The sequence below is a fragment of the Homo sapiens genome, chromosome 1, assembly GCF_000001405.40.
Source record: "Homo sapiens chromosome 1, GRCh38.p14 Primary Assembly".
Classification (NCBI taxonomy): Eukaryota; Metazoa; Chordata; class Mammalia; order Primates; family Hominidae; genus Homo; species Homo sapiens.
This window is the reverse complement of record NC_000001.11, coordinates 74,042,379-74,066,398: the sequence shown is the minus strand read 5'-3', so window position 1 is coordinate 74,066,398 and position 24,020 is coordinate 74,042,379. Positions and strand designations below refer to the sequence as shown.

The following is a 24,020-nucleotide window of genomic DNA, read 5'->3' as shown; positions in this document are numbered from 1 at the left end:
GAAATGGAAGCCCATAGGGGATTACTAAGTACACATTATGTCAAATAAATCTAATTTTCATTATTATTGGTGTTCAAATAATTATTTATGTAATATACAGGCTATCTTGATTTTTAGAGATCTTTGAATTTAAGAGATTTTCTTAATAATCTTAGGACAAAATAGAAAATATTAAGGTATGGGTACATTTTTACTTTTTTTTTTTTTTTTTCGAGACAGAGTTTCTCTCTTCTTGCCCAGGCTGGAGTGCAATGGCATGATCTTGGCTCACTGTTACCTCTGCCTCCCGGGTTCAAGTGATTCTCCAGCCTCAGCCTACCAAGTAGCTGGGATTACAGGCATGCACCAGCACGCCCAGCTAATTTTGTATTTTTAGTAGAGATGGGGTTTCACTATGTTGGTCAGGTTGGTCTCAAACTCCTCACCTCGGGTGATTCACTCACCTCGGCCTCCCAAAGTGCTGGGATTACAGGCATGAGCCATTGTGCCCTGCCTCAGTTTTTATGTAGTTGAATAATCTTACTTAACAACTATTATAAATGCTTCAACGTTAACCTGAACTTAGCTTTTTAAGGGGCTATCTCAGGATCATTCTGTTTATTACCATATTAGAATTAGGTACAAACAACATGATTATACATTTTATGAGGCCAGAAGAGTGAGCTAATATTTAATAAAAAATAAAATTACAAATATTTAGACTGAAAGAGCTAAACCCAGGAATATAAAATTTTTAGCAAATATAAGTGTGCCATTTAAAAAATTCTATTCAAACACAGATTAAACGATATATGATTTAAAGCAAATTCATGTGAAGACATCCAACTTTTAATTGACCTCACGTTAACTATGGAGGAACAGTGTATTTTGTACCTCTTCAATATCTGATATAACTTCAGCTTTATGAATTGATGCATCTACAGTGAGATAAAAACCTATTATTTTACTCTGATGTCAGCTCTTCTAGGATTATGATTCACCTTTGAAAATGATTATAACTAACAGAAGCTTTTAGAGAGAAGGGTAATTATGATGCTAAGGGGACTTGGAATCAAAACAAGGGGAGACTGTTCCTTAATATAAAGCTTTCTTAAAATTAGACCAGCATAAAATCAAAATGAAATACTTAAGAATTAGTCACTTCCTTCACTGAAGATATGCAAGCATAAGCTGGGATGAACATTTGTTGAGCTTTTTGAATAAGGAAGGCAATAAAAATAATTGGTTTGGTTGTACTAGAAGTCTTCTGTAGTGCCAGCTATCTTGTGATAGTCTGCAGTTCTTTGATTGTAAGTACAGTGAACAAAGTCTTGGAGAAATATATGAAAATATTAAGTAGCCAAATGTAATGGGAGAACTAGGTGAAGAAAAGAGACAAAAGGGAAAGAAAAACTATTGAAAAAATAGTTACTTTCCAAATTTGTTGAAAAACTGTATTCTACACATTTAAGGATATCAACAAACTCCAAATAAGATAAATACAAAAATATTTCCATCCAGACACATTATAATCAAAATATTAAGAACAAAATATTAAGATAGAATTTTGAAAGTAGTAAGAGAAAAACAAATCATTACATGCAAGGAACTCCAATGAGAATAATAACTTACTGCTCATCAGATATAATGAGGCCAGAGGCAGTGAGATAATATCAAAATGCTGAAAGAAAACTATCAACCAAGATTCTTAAATCCAGAAAAAGTGTCTTTCAAAAATAAAGGTGAAATAAAGACATTCCAGATGAATGAAGGTGAAATGAAACCATTCCCAGATATATGAAAGCTGAGAGATATCATTGCTAAAAGATGTGCCTTAGAAGGTGTATGAAAGAAAGTTCCATGAGTTGAAAGCAAGTGGCATCAAACAGTATTTCAAATCCACATGAAAAAACAGAGTGCTAATAAAGGTCATAAAGTCAGTAATTATAAAACACAATGTAATTGCACCTTTCTTCTCCTTTTCTCTTTTAACTTACTTTAGAAACAACTGAATAAAACAATATGTATACATAATTATATTGTTGGCCATATAACATATAGTAATGTAATATATTTGGTAATAACAGCATAAAGGAGGCAGGTGTAACAAAGCTATATTGGAGTAATGAAATGATGTAAGATAACAAGCCTACAGAAAGAAATAGGATAAAAATTGGTAAATAAAAAAGATAATAACAAGCTCTATGACTATATATACTTGCTCTCCACTTTTCATCAACTTTCTAAATATATATACAGTATAATTACAAAAATATTTTTACCATATATAGACATTATACATTATATATAGTATCTAAATATGCACAAAAGTGGGGAATGACATTTGCAAGAGTAAAGTTTTCATATTTTACTGGAATTTACTGGAAATCTGGTGTCATTTTGATAACTTAAGATATATATCTATTGCAAGCCCTAGAGTGACCCCTGAGAATATGGCTCAAAAATAAAATTAAACAATTATTAAAATAATTAAAATGGTGCCACAGAAAATGTTCACACACCATATCAAGATAAAATTAAATGTGAATTGATAAAGATCCAATCAAAAGACAGATTGCCAGATTTAATTTAAAAACAATCTACCTACATACTTTTTAAAGCAAACACACTTTAGATTTAAAGTTTCATGTAATTTGAAACTAAAATGATGGAAAATGATATCATGCAAACAGCAATCATCAGAGAACTGGAGGGACTGTATTAATGTCAGTCAAAAAAATTAAAATGAAAAAACAGTGTTGCTAGAAATAAAGAGAGGCATGTCACAATAATGAAAGAGTCAACACTTTAGGAATATATAACAAATATAAAAATATATGCACATAACAATAGAAACCCCAAATTGACAGAAAGCAAAATCTGACAGAATTGAAGAGAGAAATAGACAATGCAACAATAAGAATTGGAGACATTTATACACCACTTTGAATAAAGGATTCAATGAATGGGTAGAAGATCCAAATGGACCTAGAAGATTTGACCAACAATTTAAAGCAGCCACATTGAACAAACCACTCATCAATAGCAGAATACACATTCTTCTCAAGTGTGCTTGGAATATTTTCCAGTTTAAACCATATACAAGTATACCACGTTATGAAAAGAATCAAGAAATTTTAAAAGATGGAAATGATACAAAACATTTTCTTTATTCATTATGAGATTACATTAGAAATGATAGAAGAAAATTTTGAAATCTCACAAATATACAAATACGTGTAAATTAGGAAACACCCTTCCTCGTTTTGTTGTTGTTGTTGTTGTTGTTGTTGTTGTTTGGTTTTGGGGTTTTTTGTTTTGTTTTGTTTTGTTTTGATTTTTTTTGTTTTGTTTTGCTTTGGTAGTGGTTGTTATTTTAGGACTACTTGAGTATCTATTTTATTTAATTGTTTTTACTTTCTATTTTTAACTTCTATTTTAGGTTCAGGGGAACATATGAATGTTTACTACATATATAAATTGTATGTTATATGGGTTTGGTGTACAGATTATTTCCTCACCCAGGTAATAGGCATAGTATCCGATAGGTATTTTTTCACTCCTCACCCTCCTCACACCCACCACCTTCAAGTAGGCCCCAATGTCTGCTGTTCCCTTCATTGTATCCATATATACTTGATGTTTAGCTCCCATAAGTGATATCATGTGGTATTTGGTTTTCTGTTTCTGTGTTAATTTGCTGAGGATAATGGCCTACAGCTCCAACCATGTTACTACAAAGGACATGATCTCATTCTTTTTCATGGCTGCATGGTATTCCATGTTGTGTATATACCACATTTTCTTTATCTAGTCTACTGTTGATGGACATTAAGGTTGATTCTGTGTCTTTGCTACTGTGAATAGTGCTGTGATTTCTATTCCTTTGAGTACTCATTCTGTTTTAAGTCCTTTCAGAAATTGTCAAACTGCTTTCTGCAATGAGTGAACTAATTTACATTTCCATCAGCAGTGTATAAGCCTTCCCTTTCCTCCACAACCTTGGCAGCATCTGTCGTTTTTTGACTTTTTAGTAATAGCCATTCTGACTGGTGTGAGATGGTATCTCACTGTGGTTTTTATTTGCATTACTCTAATGATTAGTGATATTGAGCATTGTTTCATATGCTTGTTGGTCATATATATATCTTCTTTTGAAAAGTGTCTTTTCATGTCTTTTGCCCAATTTTTAATGGGGTTATTTTTCACTTGTATATTTAAGTTCCCTATAGGTTTTTGGATACTAGACCTTTGTTGGATTCACAGTTTGCAAATATTTTCTCCCATTCTGTAGGTTGTCTGTTTACTTTGTTGATAATTTATTTTGCCTTGCAGAAGAAGCTTTTTAATTTAATTAGGTCCCATTGGTCAATTTTATTTTCTTTTGAAAAAAACTCTCACTCTGTCTCCCAGGCTGGAGTGCAGTGGTATGATCTCAGCTCCCTGCAACTTCAGCCTCCCAGGCTCAAGGAATCCTGCCACCTCAGCCTCTCTAGTAGCTGTGACTACAGGCATGTGCCAGCAAGCTTGGCTATACTTGTATTATTTGTAGAGAGAGGGTCTCACTAAGTTATGCAGCCTAGTCTCCAGTTCCTGAGCTCAAGCAATTCACCGGACTAGGCCTCCCAAACTGCTGAGACTACTAGTGTAAGCCACCATGCCCAACCTGATTTGTCAAGTTTTGTTTTTGTTGCAATTGCTTTTACCATGTTGATCATGAAATCTTTGCCTGGTCCCATGTCCAGAATGGTATTTCCTAGGTTACCTTCAGGGTTTTCATGGTTTTAGGTTTTACATTTAAGTATTTAATATATCTTGAGTTGATTTTTCTATATGGTATAAGGAAGTGGTCGAGTTTTCATTTTCTGCAAATGTAGTATAGTTTGAAGTCAGGTAATGTGATGCCTCCAGCTCTGTTCTTTCTGTTTAGGATTGTCTTGGCTATTCAGTCTGTATTTTGGTTCCATACGAATTTTAAAATATTCTAATTCAATGAAGAATGTCATTGATAATTTGATAGGAATAACATTGAATCTGTTAAGTACTTTGGCCAATATGACCATTTTAACAATATTGATTAACAGTATTGATTCTTCCTATCAATGAACATGGAATGTTTTTCCATTTGTTTGTGTCATTTCTGATTTCTTTGAGCAGTGTTTTATAATTCTCATGAGAGAGATCTTTCACCACCCCAGTTAGCTGTATTCCTAGGTATTTCATTCTTTTTGTGGCTATTGTGAATGGAATTGGACTCTTGATTTGACTCTCAGCATGGATGTTGTTGGAGTATGAGGATGTTATTACTTTTGTACATTGATTTCATATCCTGAAACTTTGCTGAGGTCATATATCAGATCAAGTCCTGCCCCTCCACCTCTCTAAGCAGCTTTCCCTGCCAGCTCAAGTGTCCTTGAAAGTTGTGACATCTCCCGCTGCCAGAATTCCAGAGGTCTGTGGTGAGAGTGGGACGCTTCTTGCCTGCTAAACTCACTCCTTCCCCAGAAGTCACTGGGGGTCAAAATGAGTCCTGATGTGTGGTAGCTACATGCAGAGGTCCCAGATTCCTGCCCCTTCAACCTAGCAGTGTTTCCTCTCTGTCCACTCTCAATGCCTTCCTTCTGAAGATCTGCTTGGAGTGCACCGGTCTTCCTGATGTCCTGGTCCCTTGGTGGCAGATGTTCCTCCTACCTTTTTTTGGTGTGTGTGTGACAGGGTCTTGCTATGTTGCCCACTGTGAACTCAAACTCCTGGGCTTAAGTGATCTCTATTAGCTGGGACTACAGTCATGCACCATCACACCCAGCTATACTCTCTCCAATAACCAATGGATCAGAGAAAAAAATTACAAATGACATTAGAAAATATAGATAGGTAAGTGAAAACAAAAATAACTTATGAGTTTCAGCTAAAGCAGTGCTGAGAATGAAATTTATATCTGTAAGCACCTGTATTAAAAATGCAAAAATACTTCAAATATATAACCTAACTTTCCACCTTAAGAAAAAAAGAAGTAGAAAAGAAGAAGATGAGGAGGAGGAAGAGGATGAGGAGGAGGAGGAAGAAGAAGAAAAGGAGGAGGAGGTGGAAGAGGAGGAGGAGGAGGAAGAAGAAGAGGAAGAGGAGGAAGAGGAGGAGGAGGAAGAGAAAGAAGAGGAAGAGGAAGAAGAAGAAGAAGAAGAAGAAGAAGAAGAAGAACAAGAAGAAGAAGAAGAAGAAGAAGAAGAAGAAAAAGAAGAAGAAGAAGATGACGACGAAGAAGAAGGCGACTCAGGTTACTAGAATCAGAAATGAAACAGGGGACATTACCACAAAATTTCCAGAAATAAAAAGGATGATAAAGGAATACAATGAACAATATGCAAAGAAATTTTATGTTAGATGAAATGAACACTTTCCTAGAAGTATAAAAATACGCAAATATTTGAAAATCAATTATATAGCGAATAATTTGAAAATAATTTAAGAATACAATTTTATTTATAATAGCAACAAAAAAGAATAAAATAACTAGGAATAAATTTAATGAAGGAAGTACAGGACTTCTATACTGAAGAATTAAAGTAGATCTAAATAAATGGAAAGACACTCATTTTCTTAAAATGGGTGACTTAAAATTAAGATGATATTACTACTGAAAGCAATATAGAGATACAAGCAATCCCTATCAAAATTTCAATGCTTTTTCTTTTCAGAAATGGAAAAGATGATCCTAAAGTCCACATAGAATGTAGGGGATTTCCAACAACCAAATGATCTTTAAAAATAAAAACAAATTTGAAGAACTCACAGTTCCTGATTTGAAACTTACTGCAAAGCTACAGTAATTAAGACAATGTGAAAACTGGCATAATGAAAGACATTTAGATCAAGGCAATACAACTTTTTGACAAGTGTGCCAAGATAATTTATTGAGGAAAGAATAGTCTTTTCAAAAAATGGTGCTGGGACAACTATATATCTACATTCAAAAATTGATGTTGGATCTCTACATCACACCATGTACAAAAATTAACTTTAAATGGATCATAGATCTAAACATAGGCATTAAAATTATAAATGTCTTAAAAGAGAAGATGGGAGTAAACCTTTGTAACCTTAACTTGGGCAACGATGTTTTAGATATGCCACTAGGAGCATAAGCCAAAAATAATAAGAAAAGGAAAAAAAGGAAGCAAATAAATACAGATAGAAAATGAAAGATTGAACCACATCAAAGTTGAAAAAATAAACCACTTTGTGCTTCAAAGTATACCATCAAGAAAGTGAAAAGACACTCGCTGAGTAAGATAAAATATTTGCAAATAACATATCTGCTATGGACTTGTATCCAGAAATATTAAAAATATCTTACAACATCTTTGGCCACCAGGGCAATACAAATAAAGAATTTAATGAGATTCTATTTCACACCCATTCAGATGGCTATAATAAAAAACACAGACAGTGCAAAGGGTTGGCAAAGATAAGGAGAAATTGGAAACTTTGTGGATTACAGATGGATTTACATACATTGCTGGATGTAAAATGATACATCAATTTACTTTCTATTTTGTTTGTAATTAATACATAATAATTATACATATTTATGGGGTACAGTATGATGTTTCAACACAGATATACATTGCACAGTGATCAATAGCATAATTAGAATATTCATCGCCTCAAACATTTACCATTCCCTTGTGTTAGATACATTAAAAGTCCACTCTTCTAGCTATTTGAAAACATGCAACAAATTGTTGTTGATGATAGTCACTCCCCAGTGCTACAAAACACTAGAACTTACCTATTCCTCCTATCTATTTGTGTATCTGTTAACCAACCTCTGACTATTTCCCTTCTCCAACACTCTCCAGCCTCTGGAAACCACTGTTTTATTCTTTACTTCTATGAGACAAACTTTTTTAGCTTCCATATATGCAAGATAACATGTAATATTTGTCTTTCTGTACCTGGCTTATATCACTTAATATAACATTCTCCAAGCTCATCCATGTTGTAGCGAATGACAAGATTTCATTCCATTTTATTTCTGCATAATATTCCATTGTGTATATATACCACATTTTCATTATCCATTCATCTATTGATGAACAAAGGTTTATTCCATTTCTTGGCTATTGTGAATAGTGCTGCAACAAACATGGGAGTTCAGATGTCTCTGAATACTAATTTCATTTCCTTTGGATGAACACCCAGTAGTGGAACTGCTGGATCATATGATACTTCTATTTTTAGTTTTTTGAAGAACCTCCATACTATTTTCCATAGTCATTGTACTAATGTATGCTCCTACCAACAGTGTATAAGAGTTCTCCATTAGCTGTGTTCTCACTAGTATTTGTTTTTTGTTTTTTGTTTTTTTGATAATAGCCATTCTAAGAGGGGTGAGGCAATATCTCACTGTTTTGATTTGCATTTTCCTAATGATTGGTGATATTAAGCATTTTGTCATATACCTGCTGGCAAGTTTTATATCTTCTTTTGATAAATGTCTAGTCAGGGATTTTGACTATTTTTTAGTTGGGTTGCTTGTTTTTTTAGCTATTGAGTTTGAGTTCCCTATGTATTTTTGATATTAACCCCTTATCACATGTATAGTTTGTGAATATGTTCTCCAATTCTGCTGATTGGTTCCTTTGCTGTGCAGCAGCTTTTCAGTTTGGTGTAATCCCATTTGTCTATTTTTGCTTTTGTTACCTGTGCCTTTGAAGTCTATTTCAAAAAGTCCTTGCCCAGTCCTATGTCATGCAGCATTTCTCTTTTGTTTTCTAGTAGTTTCAAAGTTTCAAGTCTTACATATAAGTCTTTAATGCATTTTGAGTAGATTTTTTATATGGTGAGAGATAGGGGTCTAGTTTCATTCTTCTGCATGTGAATATTTAGTGTTTGCAGCACCATTTATTAAAAAGACTGTCCTTGTTGAATGAGTATTCTTGCCACCTATGTCTAAAATCAGTTGGCTGTGAATGTATGAATTTATTTATGGGCTCTCTATTATGTTCCACTGATCTATGTGTCTCCATTTATGCCAGTACCATTCTGCTTTGGTTACTATACCGTTTTAGTATATTTTAATGTCAGGTACTATGCTTCCACTACCTGACATTAAAATATACTAAAAAGCTATAGTAACTTGTATTCTTTTGGCTCAGAGTTGCTTTGGATATTCAGGATCTTATATAATTTGGGGAATTTTTTTCTATTTCTGTGAAGAATGTCGTTAGTATTTTGATAGGAATAGCAATGAATCTGTAGACCACTTTGGGTAGTATATTAGACCATTCTCACACTGCTATAAAGATATTACCTGAAACTGGGTAATCTATAAACAAAAGAGGTTTAATTGACTCACAGTTCTGCATGGCTGGGGAGGCCCCAGGAAACTTACAATCATAGCGAAGGCAAAGGGGAAGCAAGGTACATCTTACATGGTGGCAGGAGACAGAGAGTGAGTGCAGGGGAAACTGCCACTTTTAAAACATCAGATCTTGAGAGAACTTCCTCATTATCATGAGAACAGCATGGGAGAAACCACCTCCATGATCCAATTACATCCCACCAGGTCCCTCCCTCAACATGTGGGGGTAACAATTCAAGTTGAGACTTGGTTGGGGACACATATCGGGTAGTATGGACATTTTAACAATACTAATTCTGACAATCCATGAACACAGGATAGTTTTCCATTTATTTTTGTGTTCCTGAAACTATTTCATCAGTATTTTGTATTTTATGTTATATAAATATTTTCTTTTCATGGTTAAATTTATTTCTAGTTATTTTATTTTTGTAGTTATTGTAAATGGGATTGCATTCTTGATTTATTATTCAGACAGTTCACTATTGGTGTATTAAAACACTACTGATTTTTGTATGTTGATTTTGTGTCTGCAACTTTACTGAATTGATTTATTAGTTCTAAGAGTTTTTTGGTGGAGTCTTCCTAGTTTTTTATATGTATGATCATGTCATCTGCAAGGAGGGACAGTTTGACTTTCTCTATTCCAATTTGGATCCCTATTTTCCCTCTTGCCTAATTGCTCTGGCTGCAACTTCTAGTACTATGTTGAATACAAGTGGTGAGAGTGGGCATCCTTATCTTTTTCCAGATCTTACAGAAAAAGCTTTAAAATTTTTCCCATTGTGTATGATATGAGCTATGGTTTTGTCATATATGGTCTTTACTGTGTTGAAGTATGTTCCTGCTATATCTAATTTGTTGAGTTTATTTATTTATTTATTTATTTATTTATTTATTTATTTATTTTTGAGACAGATTCTCACTCTGTCACCGAGACTGGAGTGCAGTGGCATGATCTCGGCTCACTGCAACCTCCACCTCCCGACTTGGAGCAATTCTCCTGCCTCAGCCTCCTGAGTAGCTGGGACTACAGGCACCCACCACCACACCCGGCTAATTTTTTTGTATTTTTAGTAGAGACGGGCTTTCTCCGTGTTAGCCAGGATGATCTTGATCACCTGACCTCGTGATGTGCCCACCTCGGCCTCCCAAAGTGCTGGAATTACAGGCGTGAGCCAACATGCCAGGACTTTATTCAATTTTTATCAAGAAAGGGTGTTTAATTTCATGAGTGCTTTTCCTGCATCTGATACAGCCACTTTTGAAAAACAGATTGGCAGTCTTCAAACATTAAACAGTTGCCATATGAACCCCTAATTTTATTTCTAGCAGTATAGCCAAGAGAATCATAAACATATGTCCACATAAAAATTGTATATGAAAGAAGCAGTACTTAAAGCAGTTCAAAGGTGGAAACAAATAAAAAAATCAAATATCCATCAACCAGTAAGTAAAAAATGCATTGCCCAGTCCTGGGCATATAATGAATATGTATAATGAATGATACTCAATTACAAAGAGGAATGAAATACTGATAAATGTTACAACATGGATGATTCTTGCAAACATGTTAAATAAGAGAGAAGACACAAAAAACACATATTTTATGACTCCATGTATATGAATTGCCCAGAAAATACAAACCTATAGAGATATAAAATAGGTTTGTAGTTGTCAGGGGCAGAAGAGAGGGGGGAACAAGAAATGACTGCTAATAGATACCTGCTTTCTTTCTACGGTGATGAAAATGTTCTTGAATTAGGTATTCATGATAGTTGCATTATTCTGTGACAAAGTGTCAGAAAAACACTGAATCATACCCTTTATATGTATGTGTGTGTATATATATATATATATATATATATATATATAAAGTGTATATGTATGTATGTGTGTGTATGTGTATGTATGCATGTGTATGTATGTGCATACATGTCATGATGGTTGTGTTATTCTGTGATAAAAAGTGGCAAAGACCCACTGGATTACACACTTAATATGTATGTGGGTATTTATATAAGCTATATTTATATTTACATATTATTTAAAATATATTTTTAAATTTTATATAATTATATATTTATAATATTTTATATAATTATATAATTCATAATATGTAATACAATTATACATTTTATATAATTTATAGTTGTAATTCATAATTGTATTTTAAATTATATTTATAATTGCACATCAATATATACATATATACACATGCATTAAAAATGTGGATGTATGTGTGTATATGTATGTATGTATGTGTGTATTTATATGTATGTGTATGTAGATATATAGATATATATATATATATATTTGTGTTTTCTTCCTTTTTGTAATTAATAAACTTTTAGGACAGTTTTTGTTCATAGCAAAATTGAGCAGAAAATACAGAGATTTTTCCATAACAGTCTGTTTCAATATACGCAGAACCTCTTTCATTATCCACATCCCACACCACATATAATATAGTGGTACAATTGTTACAATAGATGAACTTAAACTAACACATTATTATCTGCAAAAGATCATAATTTACCTTAGGGTTTACTCTTGGTGTACATTCTATGAGTTTTGAAAAACGTACAATGATATTTATCCAACATCGCGGTATCATTTAGAATCATTTCACTGCCCTAAAAATCCTTTCTACACTCCTTATTCATCCTATCCTCCCCACCTTATCCCTGGCTACCACTGATGTTTTTACTATTATTTACAGGTTTACCTGTTCACACATATTGTATACCAGTATCTGGAATCATACAGTATGTAGCCTTTTTAGATTGGCTTCTTTCACTCAATAATATGCATTTATTTTTCGTGGTTTTTTTTTATGGCTTGATAGCACAAGTCTTTAGCACTGAATAATATTCCATGGTCTGGATATACCAAGGTTTATTTATCCATTCACCTACTAAAGTATATTTGGTAGTTTCCATATTTTGCCAATTATGAATAAAGCTGCTATTAAATATAAATATCCATGTGCAGGTTTTTGTACAGACACAAGTTTTCAAAGTTTTCAATTCATTTTGATGGGTACCAAGGAACATGACAGCTGGATTTTACAGTGAGAATATCTTTAGTTTTGTAAACACTGCCAGTCTTCCAAAGTGGTGGTACCATTTTGCATCCTACCAGCAATGAATGAGAGGTCCTGTTGTTCCATAACCTCATCAGTATTTGGTGTTGTCAATGTTTTGAATTTTGGCCATTCTAGTAGGTGTGTAGTGTTATCTTATGAAGTTACAATTCTCTAATAACATATGATGTGGAGCATCTTTTTATATACTTTCTTGCTATCTGTATATTTTCTTTAAGGAAGTCTCTTGTCCATTTGTTTATTTATTTATTTATTTGCTTTTAGAGACAAGGTCTGGCTGTGTTGCTCAGGCTGGAGTGCAGTGGTGCCATCATATCCTGTTGCAACCTGAAACTCTGGCTCAAGCAATCCTCCTGCCTTAGCCAAAGTACTGAGATTACAGGGGTGAGTCAGTGCACCCAGCCCCTTGCTCATTTTTTCATCTGGTTGTTTATTTTATTATTGTTGAGTTTTAATAACGTTCTTTATCAACTGTGTGTTTTGAAATAGTTTTCTAAGTCTGTGGCTGCTCTCTCATTCTCTGGATAGTCTCTTTTGCAGGGCAGAAATTTTAATTTTAATGAAATCCAGATTAACAGTTATTTCTTTCATGGAACTTTGGTTTTTTTAAAGAAGTTATTGTCATACTCAAAATTATATAGGATTTCTTCCATTTTCTTCTCTGAGTTTATAGTTTTGCATTTTATATTTAAATCTATGAGCCATTTCAAACTGATTTTTGTCATGGGTGTAAGGTCTATGTCTAGATTAATTTGTTTTTTTTTTTTTTTTTGGCATGTGGAGGACCGGTTATTTCATTACCGTTTGTTGAAAAGACTGTCTCACTTCATTGTTTTGCCTTTGCTCTTTTGTTAAAGATAAGTTGACTATATCACGGGACAGATCTATTTCTGGGCTCTCTACTTTGTTCCATTGATCTATTTGTCAATACTCTTGCCAATACCAAACTGTTTTGATTATTGTAATTGTACACTTTAAAAAGATACATTCTTTGGCATATGAATTGTATCTCAAAGAAGATGTTATTTTTAAAAACCAGAAAGAATAGTGAACAAGGAAATTGTTAAATCAAAATTAATTGAAGACTTAAGATCAAGTGTAAGATTCCTACAATCTAGAATTTATTTTGTTTTAAAGAAGTCAGATATAATACACATTATGAAAAAAAGGAACTGCAGATTGAATATATTCCACAGAGAGAAGAGCTCAGAGAGGGATTTGTAATTGTTATATAATAAGAGATTAAGCAAAATTTATTATATCAGATAAAGATAGTAAATCTGTATTGGCTTATAATCTTCTCCAATGAATAACCGCTCTCTGCCCAGAGTGTGAGAAAAGCAGTGTGAGAAAGGCTTTTGAGGATATTAGAGATGTCTACCATTATCGAGAACATAAGAAGTTTTAGATCAAAAAATGAAATTGAGAGCTGATATAAGAAGAACAACTAAATTTTATAATTTCTTCCTCAGTGCCAAGCAGATTTCACTCAACCCTCACAGCAAATCTATAAGGTGGGCACTTTCATTCTCCCATTTTATAGATGAAGAAACTATGGCATCGTGAATTTGAGTAACTTCCATGAAGTTACTTTCTGAAATGATAGGATGTGGCATTTCAGATATGCAAGTGATTGTGCTCCTGGTTTTTCACCCTAACTACTATCCAACAGTGGCTGTAGCTGTCCAATGGCTCAAAAAAAGAGAAAGTTAGATCCAAAGCACTGTTTCAGTGGACATCGGACTAGTAAGACTTATGTAGTCAGCGCGGTCCTGGTGGAACTCACATATTTGGGCCTAAGATATCAAGTAGAGAAATTTAGATCTTCAAATTAAGATCCTGATCTTAGAGGAAAAAAAGATTGAAGCGTCATGATCCTTAGAAGATGAAAGAAATGGTAAGCTTGGGAAAAGGGAAATAATATAATTATTAACGGACTGATTCATAGTTATTCAGGAACCTGTAGAAAGTTTGACCTTAATCCTAAGTCAAACTTGCCCAGTCTATTTTTTTCACTCTTTATGGCCAGGTATGAAATTGGTTTAAATATTTTGTTCTACCTAAAATTACCAGACAGGTAGAACTCAGAGTGGAGTGGCGAAGGCAAACTGTATAAAAGGCAAATTTTAAAAGGGAACGTATCATAAAGCTGTAATTTACTACCTTAGAATAATGAAACCCCTTATAAAAGATCACATATTGTGTGATTGCATTTATAAGAAATGTCCAGAATAGGAAAATCTGGCAGACAGAAAGTAGATTAGTGGTTGCTTAAGGTGGGGGAGATGGTAGGAGACAGGGGATGGTGAATGACTCTAATGCGTATGGGGTTTCTGTTTGGGGTGATGAAAATGCTCTAAACCTAGACTGTGGTGATAACTTATGGTTGCACAACTCTATAAATGTATTAAAACAATTACATTGTACACTTTAATGATTTAATATACCACTAATATGGAATATTAAGTATATCTCAATACGGATGTTTTTAAAATCGTATGTAGGAACTTTTAAAGCATGCCAAATGTCAACAATAGGTATGGCTATTTGAGACGTTGTCACTAACAGTCACATCATTGCAATGGATACTATTTGTAAGCAGCCTTAATAACTGATAATCAAAAAGCAATGTTTTAAGCAATTTGTACATTAGTGTGAACGGTACTTATAAATTCATGTTTTAGTGTGTTTTCCTGCTTTAATGTTTTAATGCTCTATTTTCATTTTTGGAAATCCAATAAGGGTTGGTGGTTAACATTTAATGTGTTACAATTTTCCCATGTAGAATATAAAGAAATAGGCTCCAGCATAGCACTTCTTTACAGAATGTCTAATTTTCAGAAATTGATTAAAGATGTAAAGTGAGAGGGGTAACGCCTGTGCATCTCTGTAATTTTCTATTCTATTACAATAAATCCCCAGGAGAGCTTTATTACATGTGAGATGTAAGATGTTTCATAAACTATATTCTTTATTATGGTGATCTTATACCATATCTTAGATAAGTCATTTATACCAGAGTATATGTGCGTGTGTAATGGGAGAGACTTCATTGAAAACATTTGCTACTAAGAAAATAGGAAGAAATTGCAACCATTGCTATAAGTGAACTTTTTGCATCTAGCAAATCAGGAAGAACTCAGTACGTGACAGAAGTTTATGCCACTGCTTTCTTCCTTATATTCGTTTCATTTTCCTTATTTTCCTGTTCTTTGCTTCACCTAAACTTAAAGCTTATGTATCACATAAGGCTATAAGCTTGTGCAAAGGTGTCAGGCCAGTTTGCTGAGGAAAGCAACTGCTTCAGACCCACTTGTGAGCATTCAAATCACAGCTATGCTGATTTTAAATAGGTTTGGACCATTTGTTTCTTCACAGATGGTTCATAAATCTGCAATACGTTCAGAAGAATCAAACAAGCTCTGTTGACCACAAATGGTATTGGCTTCTGTGTTGCTCTGAGTCCTAAAAGATCCAACTATCTGTTCAGAAAACTGAAAGTAAATTGGCTGATATGATCCAGTTGTTTTGCTCTTAAGTTGAGAGGTACATATAAGGTATAAATATAAGAATAATTGCTTTTTAGCAAGCTTTTCTTTAATACTATATCTAAAACAAGCCATTTTGTTGCCTTTGTGTCAAAAAATTCAGTTTGTGGAAGTTATGGCTGGAGAAAGGAGAACCTGTACTTCAAGTATTATCTGGTATTATTATTTAAAAAGTATGCAAGGTGGGTGTGGTGGCTCACTCCTGTAGTCCCAGCACTTTGGGAGGCCGAGGTGGGCAGATCATGAGGTCAGGAGTTTGAGAGCAGCCTGATCAACATGGTGAAACCCCATCTCTACTAAAAATACAAAAATTAGCCAGGTATGGTGGTGTGTGCCTGTAATCCCAGCTACTCAGGAGGCTGAGGCAGGAGAATTGCTTGAATCCGGGAGGCGGAGGTTGCAGTGAGCTGAGATCATGCCATTGCACTCTAGCCTGGGCAACAGAGTGAGACTCCGTCTCAAAAAAAAAAAAAAAAGAAAAAAAAGACACAAAGGTGTCATTTTCCTCAGTTTTAACCTGAGTATTACTAGGAATCATGTAAATGGAAATAAATGGTATTTGTTCAAAATGATTTTATTTTAAGAATAAAATACTTTAAAATGACATTACATTAGTGAAAGTTTTAAATGATTTTTTAATATAAACAATTTGAATATGACGTTGAATTAGGAAAATGTTAGTTATGTGTTTAAATATGAAAAGTATGAACTGCAAAACAGTAATACATATAAAAATATTTCTTCTAGCTCACCAAATCTGCTTTTCCTGCAGTTTTTCCCATGTCAGCAAATGGCATCACCATTCACCTGGTTTCTCAAGCCAAAATGCTACCATTCATCTTTGATTTTTTTCTTTCTCACTTCTGCTATCTAAGTTATCAGCAGCCCCTTCTGACTATACTTGTAAAACATATGCCAAATCTTTCTACTTCTCTGTGAATTTATTGCTTTCATCTAGGCCCTTCCTATCATAAAATCTTACCTGGGCCACTAGAGTAGCCTCTTAACCAGTCCCCTACTTAGAATTTTACGGTCCACATTCAAATCCATTGTCTTCATGGTAAATCACATACCATATCAGTCCCCTACTTCAACGACTTCAAATCTCAGAATGAAATCCAAAACTTTTATTCTGTGACCTACCATGCCGCATAGAATCTGGCCCCTGCCTTACCTCTGTGAGCGTCTCCAGCACCACTCTCCTCTTACTTAGTGGATTTCAGGTGGCTTTCTCTCTGTATCCCTAGCAGGCTAAATGTGCTTCTGTCTACTGCCTTTATATTAGCTTCTCTTTTCTTCTGGAATGTTCATTTTTTCTCCTTGCTTGTTCTTACTTATCTTTTCTCATCTAGGGTTAAATCAGATATCCTCTAAAAACCCATTCCTATCCACCCAATCTAATTACTAGACCCTCTCACTGCCAATTAATTTTTATCAGAGCATTTATTTCTATTTGATATTTTCTTATTTATAAATTTGTTATCCATCTTCTCCACTAGAAGTTTCATGAGCCCTGGGATAGTGCATTTCTTAGTAAATACCTCATGTATTTTGTTTAGAAAAGTGTCTTATACACAACAAACATTCAATTTTATGTATACACTGTTCACACATTATATTATTATTGGACTTCTATATTTAACAAAGAAAACATTTACGAGTAAAGACAGACTGCTAATATTCATGGAAAACAACTCTCAAACACAAAGGAAAAAAAATTTACATAAAAAGTTAAGAACTAAAGAAAGTTTGAATAATAACTTTTATATTTGTGATCCCTGAATTTCCATAGAATTTGCAAGCTACTAAAATATGAATGAATGGATGGAAGGATAGATAGATGAATTAATTGGTGAATGAATCAAAATGATTCTAGGAAGCCAGAAGCTACTTAATCGTTCACTGAGATCATATGTAATTTTAAGTAGCTGCTGGGAGGTTATGGGGGAAATTGTTATCTGTTACATTAATAACACAATGAAATTGAGATATGAGACCCAAGACTGGACAAATGGTCACATTTTGGACATTCTAGGAACATTATACTCCCCTCTCCAAATTAGAAGAATTATTGACATGCTAGGATCAATTAAAATTGAAGTAAAATGGAAATAAATAACCATCCCAGGGTGATCAATGTCTCTGAGCACTCCTATTATCCATTAATAACACACTAGTTTGCCACAGCATACCAGTTGGGCAACTTTACTTAAAAATTCAGGAGAGGGAACTTCCTTTGTGTTAGTCTGTTCAAGCTGTCATAACAAAATTCCAGACTGGGTGACTTAAGGAACAGAAATTTGTTTTCTTACAATTCTGGAGTCTGAGTCTGAGATCAGGATGCCAACATGGTAAGTTTCTAGTGAGGGCTCTCTGCCTTTTAGAAAACCACCATCTTGCTGTGTCCATATGGCCTTTCTTTGATATGTGTGCATAGTGAGAAGGGAAAGTGAGCTATCTGATATTTCTTCTCATGAGAACACTAACCTGATTCAATCAGGGTTTCACTTTATGACCAAATTTAACCTTAATCAGTTTCTGAGGGGTCCCACTACCAAATAAAGCCACACTGGGGGTTGGGGCTCTATTTGGGCTGTTATAACAAAATACCATAAACTGGGTAGCTTATAAACAACAGATTTTTTAAAATCATTCTGGAGGCTAGGAAGTCCAAGAACAAGACACCAACAAATTTGGTGTCTGTTGAAAACCCACTTTCTGGTTTATACATGGTGCCTTCTGGCTGTGTGCTCACAGATGGTAGAGGGTGAAGGACCTCTATCAGGCCTCTTTTTTATATATATATACTTTAATTTCTTTAATTTCTGGGGTACATGTGCAGAACGTGCAGGTTTGTTCCATAGGTATACACGTGCCATGGTGGTATGCTGCACCCATCAACCCATCAGATACATTAGGTATTTCTCCTAATGCTATCCGTCCCCTAGCCCATCACACCCCAACAGGTCCCAGTATGTGATGTTCCTCTCCCTGTGCCCATGTGTTCTCATTGTTCAACTCCCACTTATGAGTGAGAACATGTGGTGTTTGGTTATCTATTCTTGTGTTAGTTTGCTGAGAATGATGGTTTCCAGTGTCATCCATGTCCCCACAAAGAATATGAACTCATCCTTTTTTATGGCTGCATAGTATTCTGTGGTGTATATGTGCCACATTTTCTTTATCCAGTCTATCAGTGATGGGCATTTGGGTTGGTTCCAAGTCTTTCCTATAGTGAACAGTGCCACAATAAACATACGTGTGTATGTGTCTTTATAGTAGAATGATTTATAATCCTTTGGGCATATACCTAGTAATAGGATTGCTGGGTATTTCTGGTTCTATATCCTGGAGGAATCGCCACACTGTCTCCCACAATGGTTGAACTAATTTACACTTCCACCAACAGTGTAAAAGCATTCCTATTTCCCCACATCCTCTCCAGCATCTGTTGTTTCCTGACTTTTTAATGATTGCCATTCTTACTGGTGTGAGATGGTATCTCATTGTGGTTTTGTGTTGCATTTCTATAATGACCAAAGATGATGAGCTTTTTCTCATATGTTTTTTGGCCACATAAATGCCTTCTTTTGAGAAATGTCTGTTCATATCCTTTGCCCACTTTTTGATGGGTTTGTTTGTTTTTTTTCTTGTAAATCTGTTTAAGCTCTTTGTAGATTCTGGATATTAGGCCTACATCAGATGGACAGATTGCAAAATTTTTCTCCCATTCTATAGGTTGCCTGTTCACTCTGATGATAGTTTCTTTTGCTGTGCAGAAGCTCTTTAGTTTAATCAGATCCCATTTGTCTATTTTGGCTTTTGTTGCTGTTGCTTTTGGTGTTTTAGTCATGAAGCCTTTGCCCATTCCAATGTCCTGAATGGTATTGCCTAGGTTTTCTTCTAGGGTTTTTATGGCTTTAGGTTTAAGTCTTTAATCCATCTTGAGTTAATTTTTGTATAAGGTGTAAGGTAGGGATCCAGTTTCAGCTAGCATATGGCTAGCCAGTTTTCCTAGCACCATTTATTAATTAGGGTACCCTTTCCCCATTTCTTGTTTTTGTCAGGTTTGTTGAAGATCAGATTGTTGTAGATATGTGGCATGATTTCTGAGGCCTCTGTTCTGTTCCATTGGTCTATATATCTGTTTTGGTACCAGTACCATGCTGTTTGTGTTACTGTAGCCTTGTAGTATAGTTTGAAGTCAGGTAGCATGATGCCTCCAGCTTTGTTCTTTTTGCTTAGGATTGTCTTGGCTATGCAGGCTCTTTTTTGGTTCCATATGAACTTTAAAGTAGTTTTTTCCAATTCTGTGAAGAAAGTCAATGGTAGCCTGATCGGAATAGCATTAAATCTATAAATTGCTTTGGGCAGTGTGGCCATTTTAATGACATTCATTCTTCCTATCCATGAGGATGGAATGTTTTTCCGTTTGTTTGTGTCCTCTCTTATTTCCTTGAGCAGTGGCTTGTAGTTCTCCTTGAAGAGGTCCCTCACATCCCTTGTTAGCTGTACTCCTAGGTATTTTATTCTCTTTGCAGTGGTTGTAAATGGGAGTTCACTCATGAATTGGCTGTTTGTCTTTTATTGGTATATAGGAGTACTTGTGTATTTTGCACATTGATTTTGTACCCTGAGACTTTGCTGAAGTTGCTTATCAGTTTAAGGAGATTTTGGGCTGAGATGATGGGTTTTCCTAAATATACAATCATGTCATCTGCAAACAGAGACAATTTGACTTCCTCTTTTCCTACTTGAATACCGTTTATTTCTTTCTCTTGTCTGATTGCCCTGGCCAGAACTTCCAATACTATGTTGAATAGGAGTGGTGAGAGAGGGCAAGCTTGTCTTGTGCCGGTTTTCAAAGGGAATGCTGCCGGTTTTTGCCCATTCAGTATGATGTTGGCTGTGGGTTTGTCATAAATAGCTCTTATTATTTTGAGATACGTTCCATCAATGCCTAGTATATTGAACATTTTTAGCATGAAGCCTGCTGAATTTTGTCGAAGGCCTTTTCTGCAACTATTGAGATAATCATGTGGCTTTTATCACTGGTTCCGTTTATGTGCTAGATTATGTTTATTGATTTGCATATGTTGAACAAGGCTTGCATCTCAAGGATGAAGCTGACTTGATAGTGGTGGATAAGCTTTTTGATGTGCTGCTGGATTCAGTTCGCCAGTATTTTATTGAGGATTTTCGGATCAATGTTCATCAGGGATAGTGGCCTGAAATTTTCTTTTTTTGTTGTGTCTGTGCCAGGTCTTGGTATCAGGATGATGCTTGCCCCATAAAATGAGTTAAGGAGGATTCGCTCTTTTTCTCTTGTTTGAAATAGTTTCAGAAGGAATGGTACCAGCTCCTCTTAGTACCTCTAGTAGAATTCGGCTGTGAATCCCTCTGGTCCTGGACTTTTTTTGGTTGGTAGGCTATTAATTACTGCCTCAATTTCAGAACTAGTTATTGGTCTATTCAGGGATTCAAATTCTTCATGGTTTAGTCTTGGAAGAGTGTAGTGTCCAGGAATTTATCCATTCCTTCTAGATTTTCTAGTTTATTTGCATAGAGGTGTTTATCGTATTCTCTGATGGTAGTTTGTATTTTCTGTGGAATCGGTGGTGATATCCCCTTTATCATTTTTGATTGCATCTATTTGATTCTCCTCTCTTTTATTCTTATTAGTCTGGCTAGTGGTCTATTTTGTTGATGTTTTCAAAAATCCAGCTCCTGGATTCATTGATTTTTTGAAGGGTTTTTTGTGACTCTGTCTCCTTCAGTTCTGCTTTGATCTTAGTTATTTCTTGTCTTCTGCTAGCTTTTGAATTTGTTTGCTCTTTCTTCTCTAGTTCTTTTAATTGTGATATTAGGGTGTAAATTTTAGATCTTTTTGCTTTCTCCTGTGGGCATTTAGAGCTATAAATTTCCCTTAATATTATGGCAGAAGGTGATGTGGGAGCTGGCATATCACATGAAGACAGAGGTGCCAGACTTTTTTAAACAACTAGCTCTCATATGAACTACCATAACAGGAACTCTCTCATTATCACGAGAGGGCACCAAGCCACTCATGAGGGGTCTACCCCATGTCCCAAACACCTCTCACTAGGCCCAATATCCAACATTGGGGATTGCATTTCAACATGGGATTTGGAGGGGACACACATCTAAACTACATTGCTGCACAAACCAAACTGTGCAAAATAGTAGGCTAGGGGCTGGGAATGTAGCATCAAAGACCAAAGGAGTAGATCCTTACTCATAAGAAGGTTATATCAAGTTCGATCCTATAGCTAAAAACTACTACATAGAGCTTTAATGTAAGTGGAATATGATTAATTCTATCAGGAAAAACATATGTGATAGTTTAAAACATATGAATTCTTTTTTAAGCAATAAGGAAAATATGACGTGAAAAGACATGGAAGAATGCATAGAATATGAACAGATACAGATAAGAAAAACAGCATACTGAGCAAAACTTAAAATAATAGAAGCAAAGGCCCAATGATGATAAGATATGATGCATATGTTGGGGAAAAATATGTCGCTCTTTTCTGGTATTATATAATCCTAGGCCAAAAATGGAAACTATTCTTCAGACTATGGGTGGAAAGCCATAAAGATTTTGTCTTCCTTTGTTTGTGTATAAGGTACAATGTTGTTAGAACCCTACTTAAGAAAGATAAATATAGCAGTGAGTGATTTCTTGAAACAGAGATTCTGAAAACAGAGAAAGAAATTAGGAGACTTTTAAAAGTGTTAATGGGACTATGTTCAACCAACTAATGAGAGACTCTGACTTTTGACACTTTGGCTCCTCAGTCTCTTGCTTTGGACACACATATTTAGTGTTTATTTCTGGACACTTTGGCTTTCTATCCTGATGGACTGCCTTTTCTATTTGCTAGACTTGATTTCCTACTTTGCTGTAGAATTTACTTACTTTTCCAACGTTGATACTCCTGTAGCCTTTCGTGAAAATCTTGCCTATTCAATTATTTTCTACTGTCCGTCTAGACTACAAGCCCTGCCCTTCTTCATAGTTCACTTAACTTCCATAAAACCACCAGCATCATATTTGACATTTTTACACATAAAGACAAGGTAATTTTCTAAGGAAGATCAAACCCTTGTAGACTAGAGTTAGCAGGAATGTAATTTTAATAAGTGGAAGAAATCAAGAAACACCTTTTTCTCCTAAATTAACAAGCATAACTTTTATACTTGTATTTGTCACCTGATTCTGAATTCATTAGTAGGTTTGTCAAAAAGTAAATATGCAAACAACAATGTGATTCAATTTATTGTATTAATTAGGTTGGGTATAGTAACAAATAGACCCAGAAATGCATATTGACTGAAACATAATTACTTTTGATTTCTGGCTTCATAAATGACCCAACTTGGATGATTCTGGTCCATGAGAAGTTTTTTCAACAAGTGATTCAGGCAGGCAGGCAGCTTCTATCTTATGGTTCCACCATCTTTTGGGGTTTCATTCTCATCTCTACGTAGTGGAAAGAAGGTGCACATTGTTTCTTAAAACAATCTCTTGGACAAGGAATAACACATAACAATTGTGTTCACACTCTATTAAAAAGGACTTAGCCCATGGTCACACAAAGGAAAGCAAAGGAAGCTAAGAGTTTTAGTAATTTTGTCTGTCCAAAAAAGGGAAAAACGATTGATGGCTGCTACTATTTTCCACCAGAGTTAAGAAAAATAAGGTAAAATGGATTACAATGCCCTTTGCAAATATGACATACTAATAACTTGTTAAATGTGGCCTAAGGCTGCCTCTGTTCCTTGAGTCCTTACATAATGAATTGCAACCTAACTTAGTATGTAAACAAACTGAAAGCCTAACTTACAGGTATATTTTTGTAAAAGATAACTAAGTCATAGCCAATCACAGCAGTCAAGCTTCAGCCAATCACAGGCCACCAACTGATATGATTATGTCCAAATAAGGCAAAATTGAACCATAACCAATCAAGCTGTTTCTATATTTCTTCCATTTTCT

At 34.8% G+C, this 24,020-nt stretch overlaps 1 protein-coding gene across 6 annotated transcripts in view; it reads left to right on the top strand.

The window, feature by feature from the left end:
- The window catches only part of LRRIQ3 (leucine rich repeats and IQ motif containing 3), a 172,162-nt gene that overhangs the window by 131,778 nt on the left and 16,364 nt on the right, over positions 1-24,020 (top strand). The gene's annotated exons all lie outside the window — the stretch shown is intronic.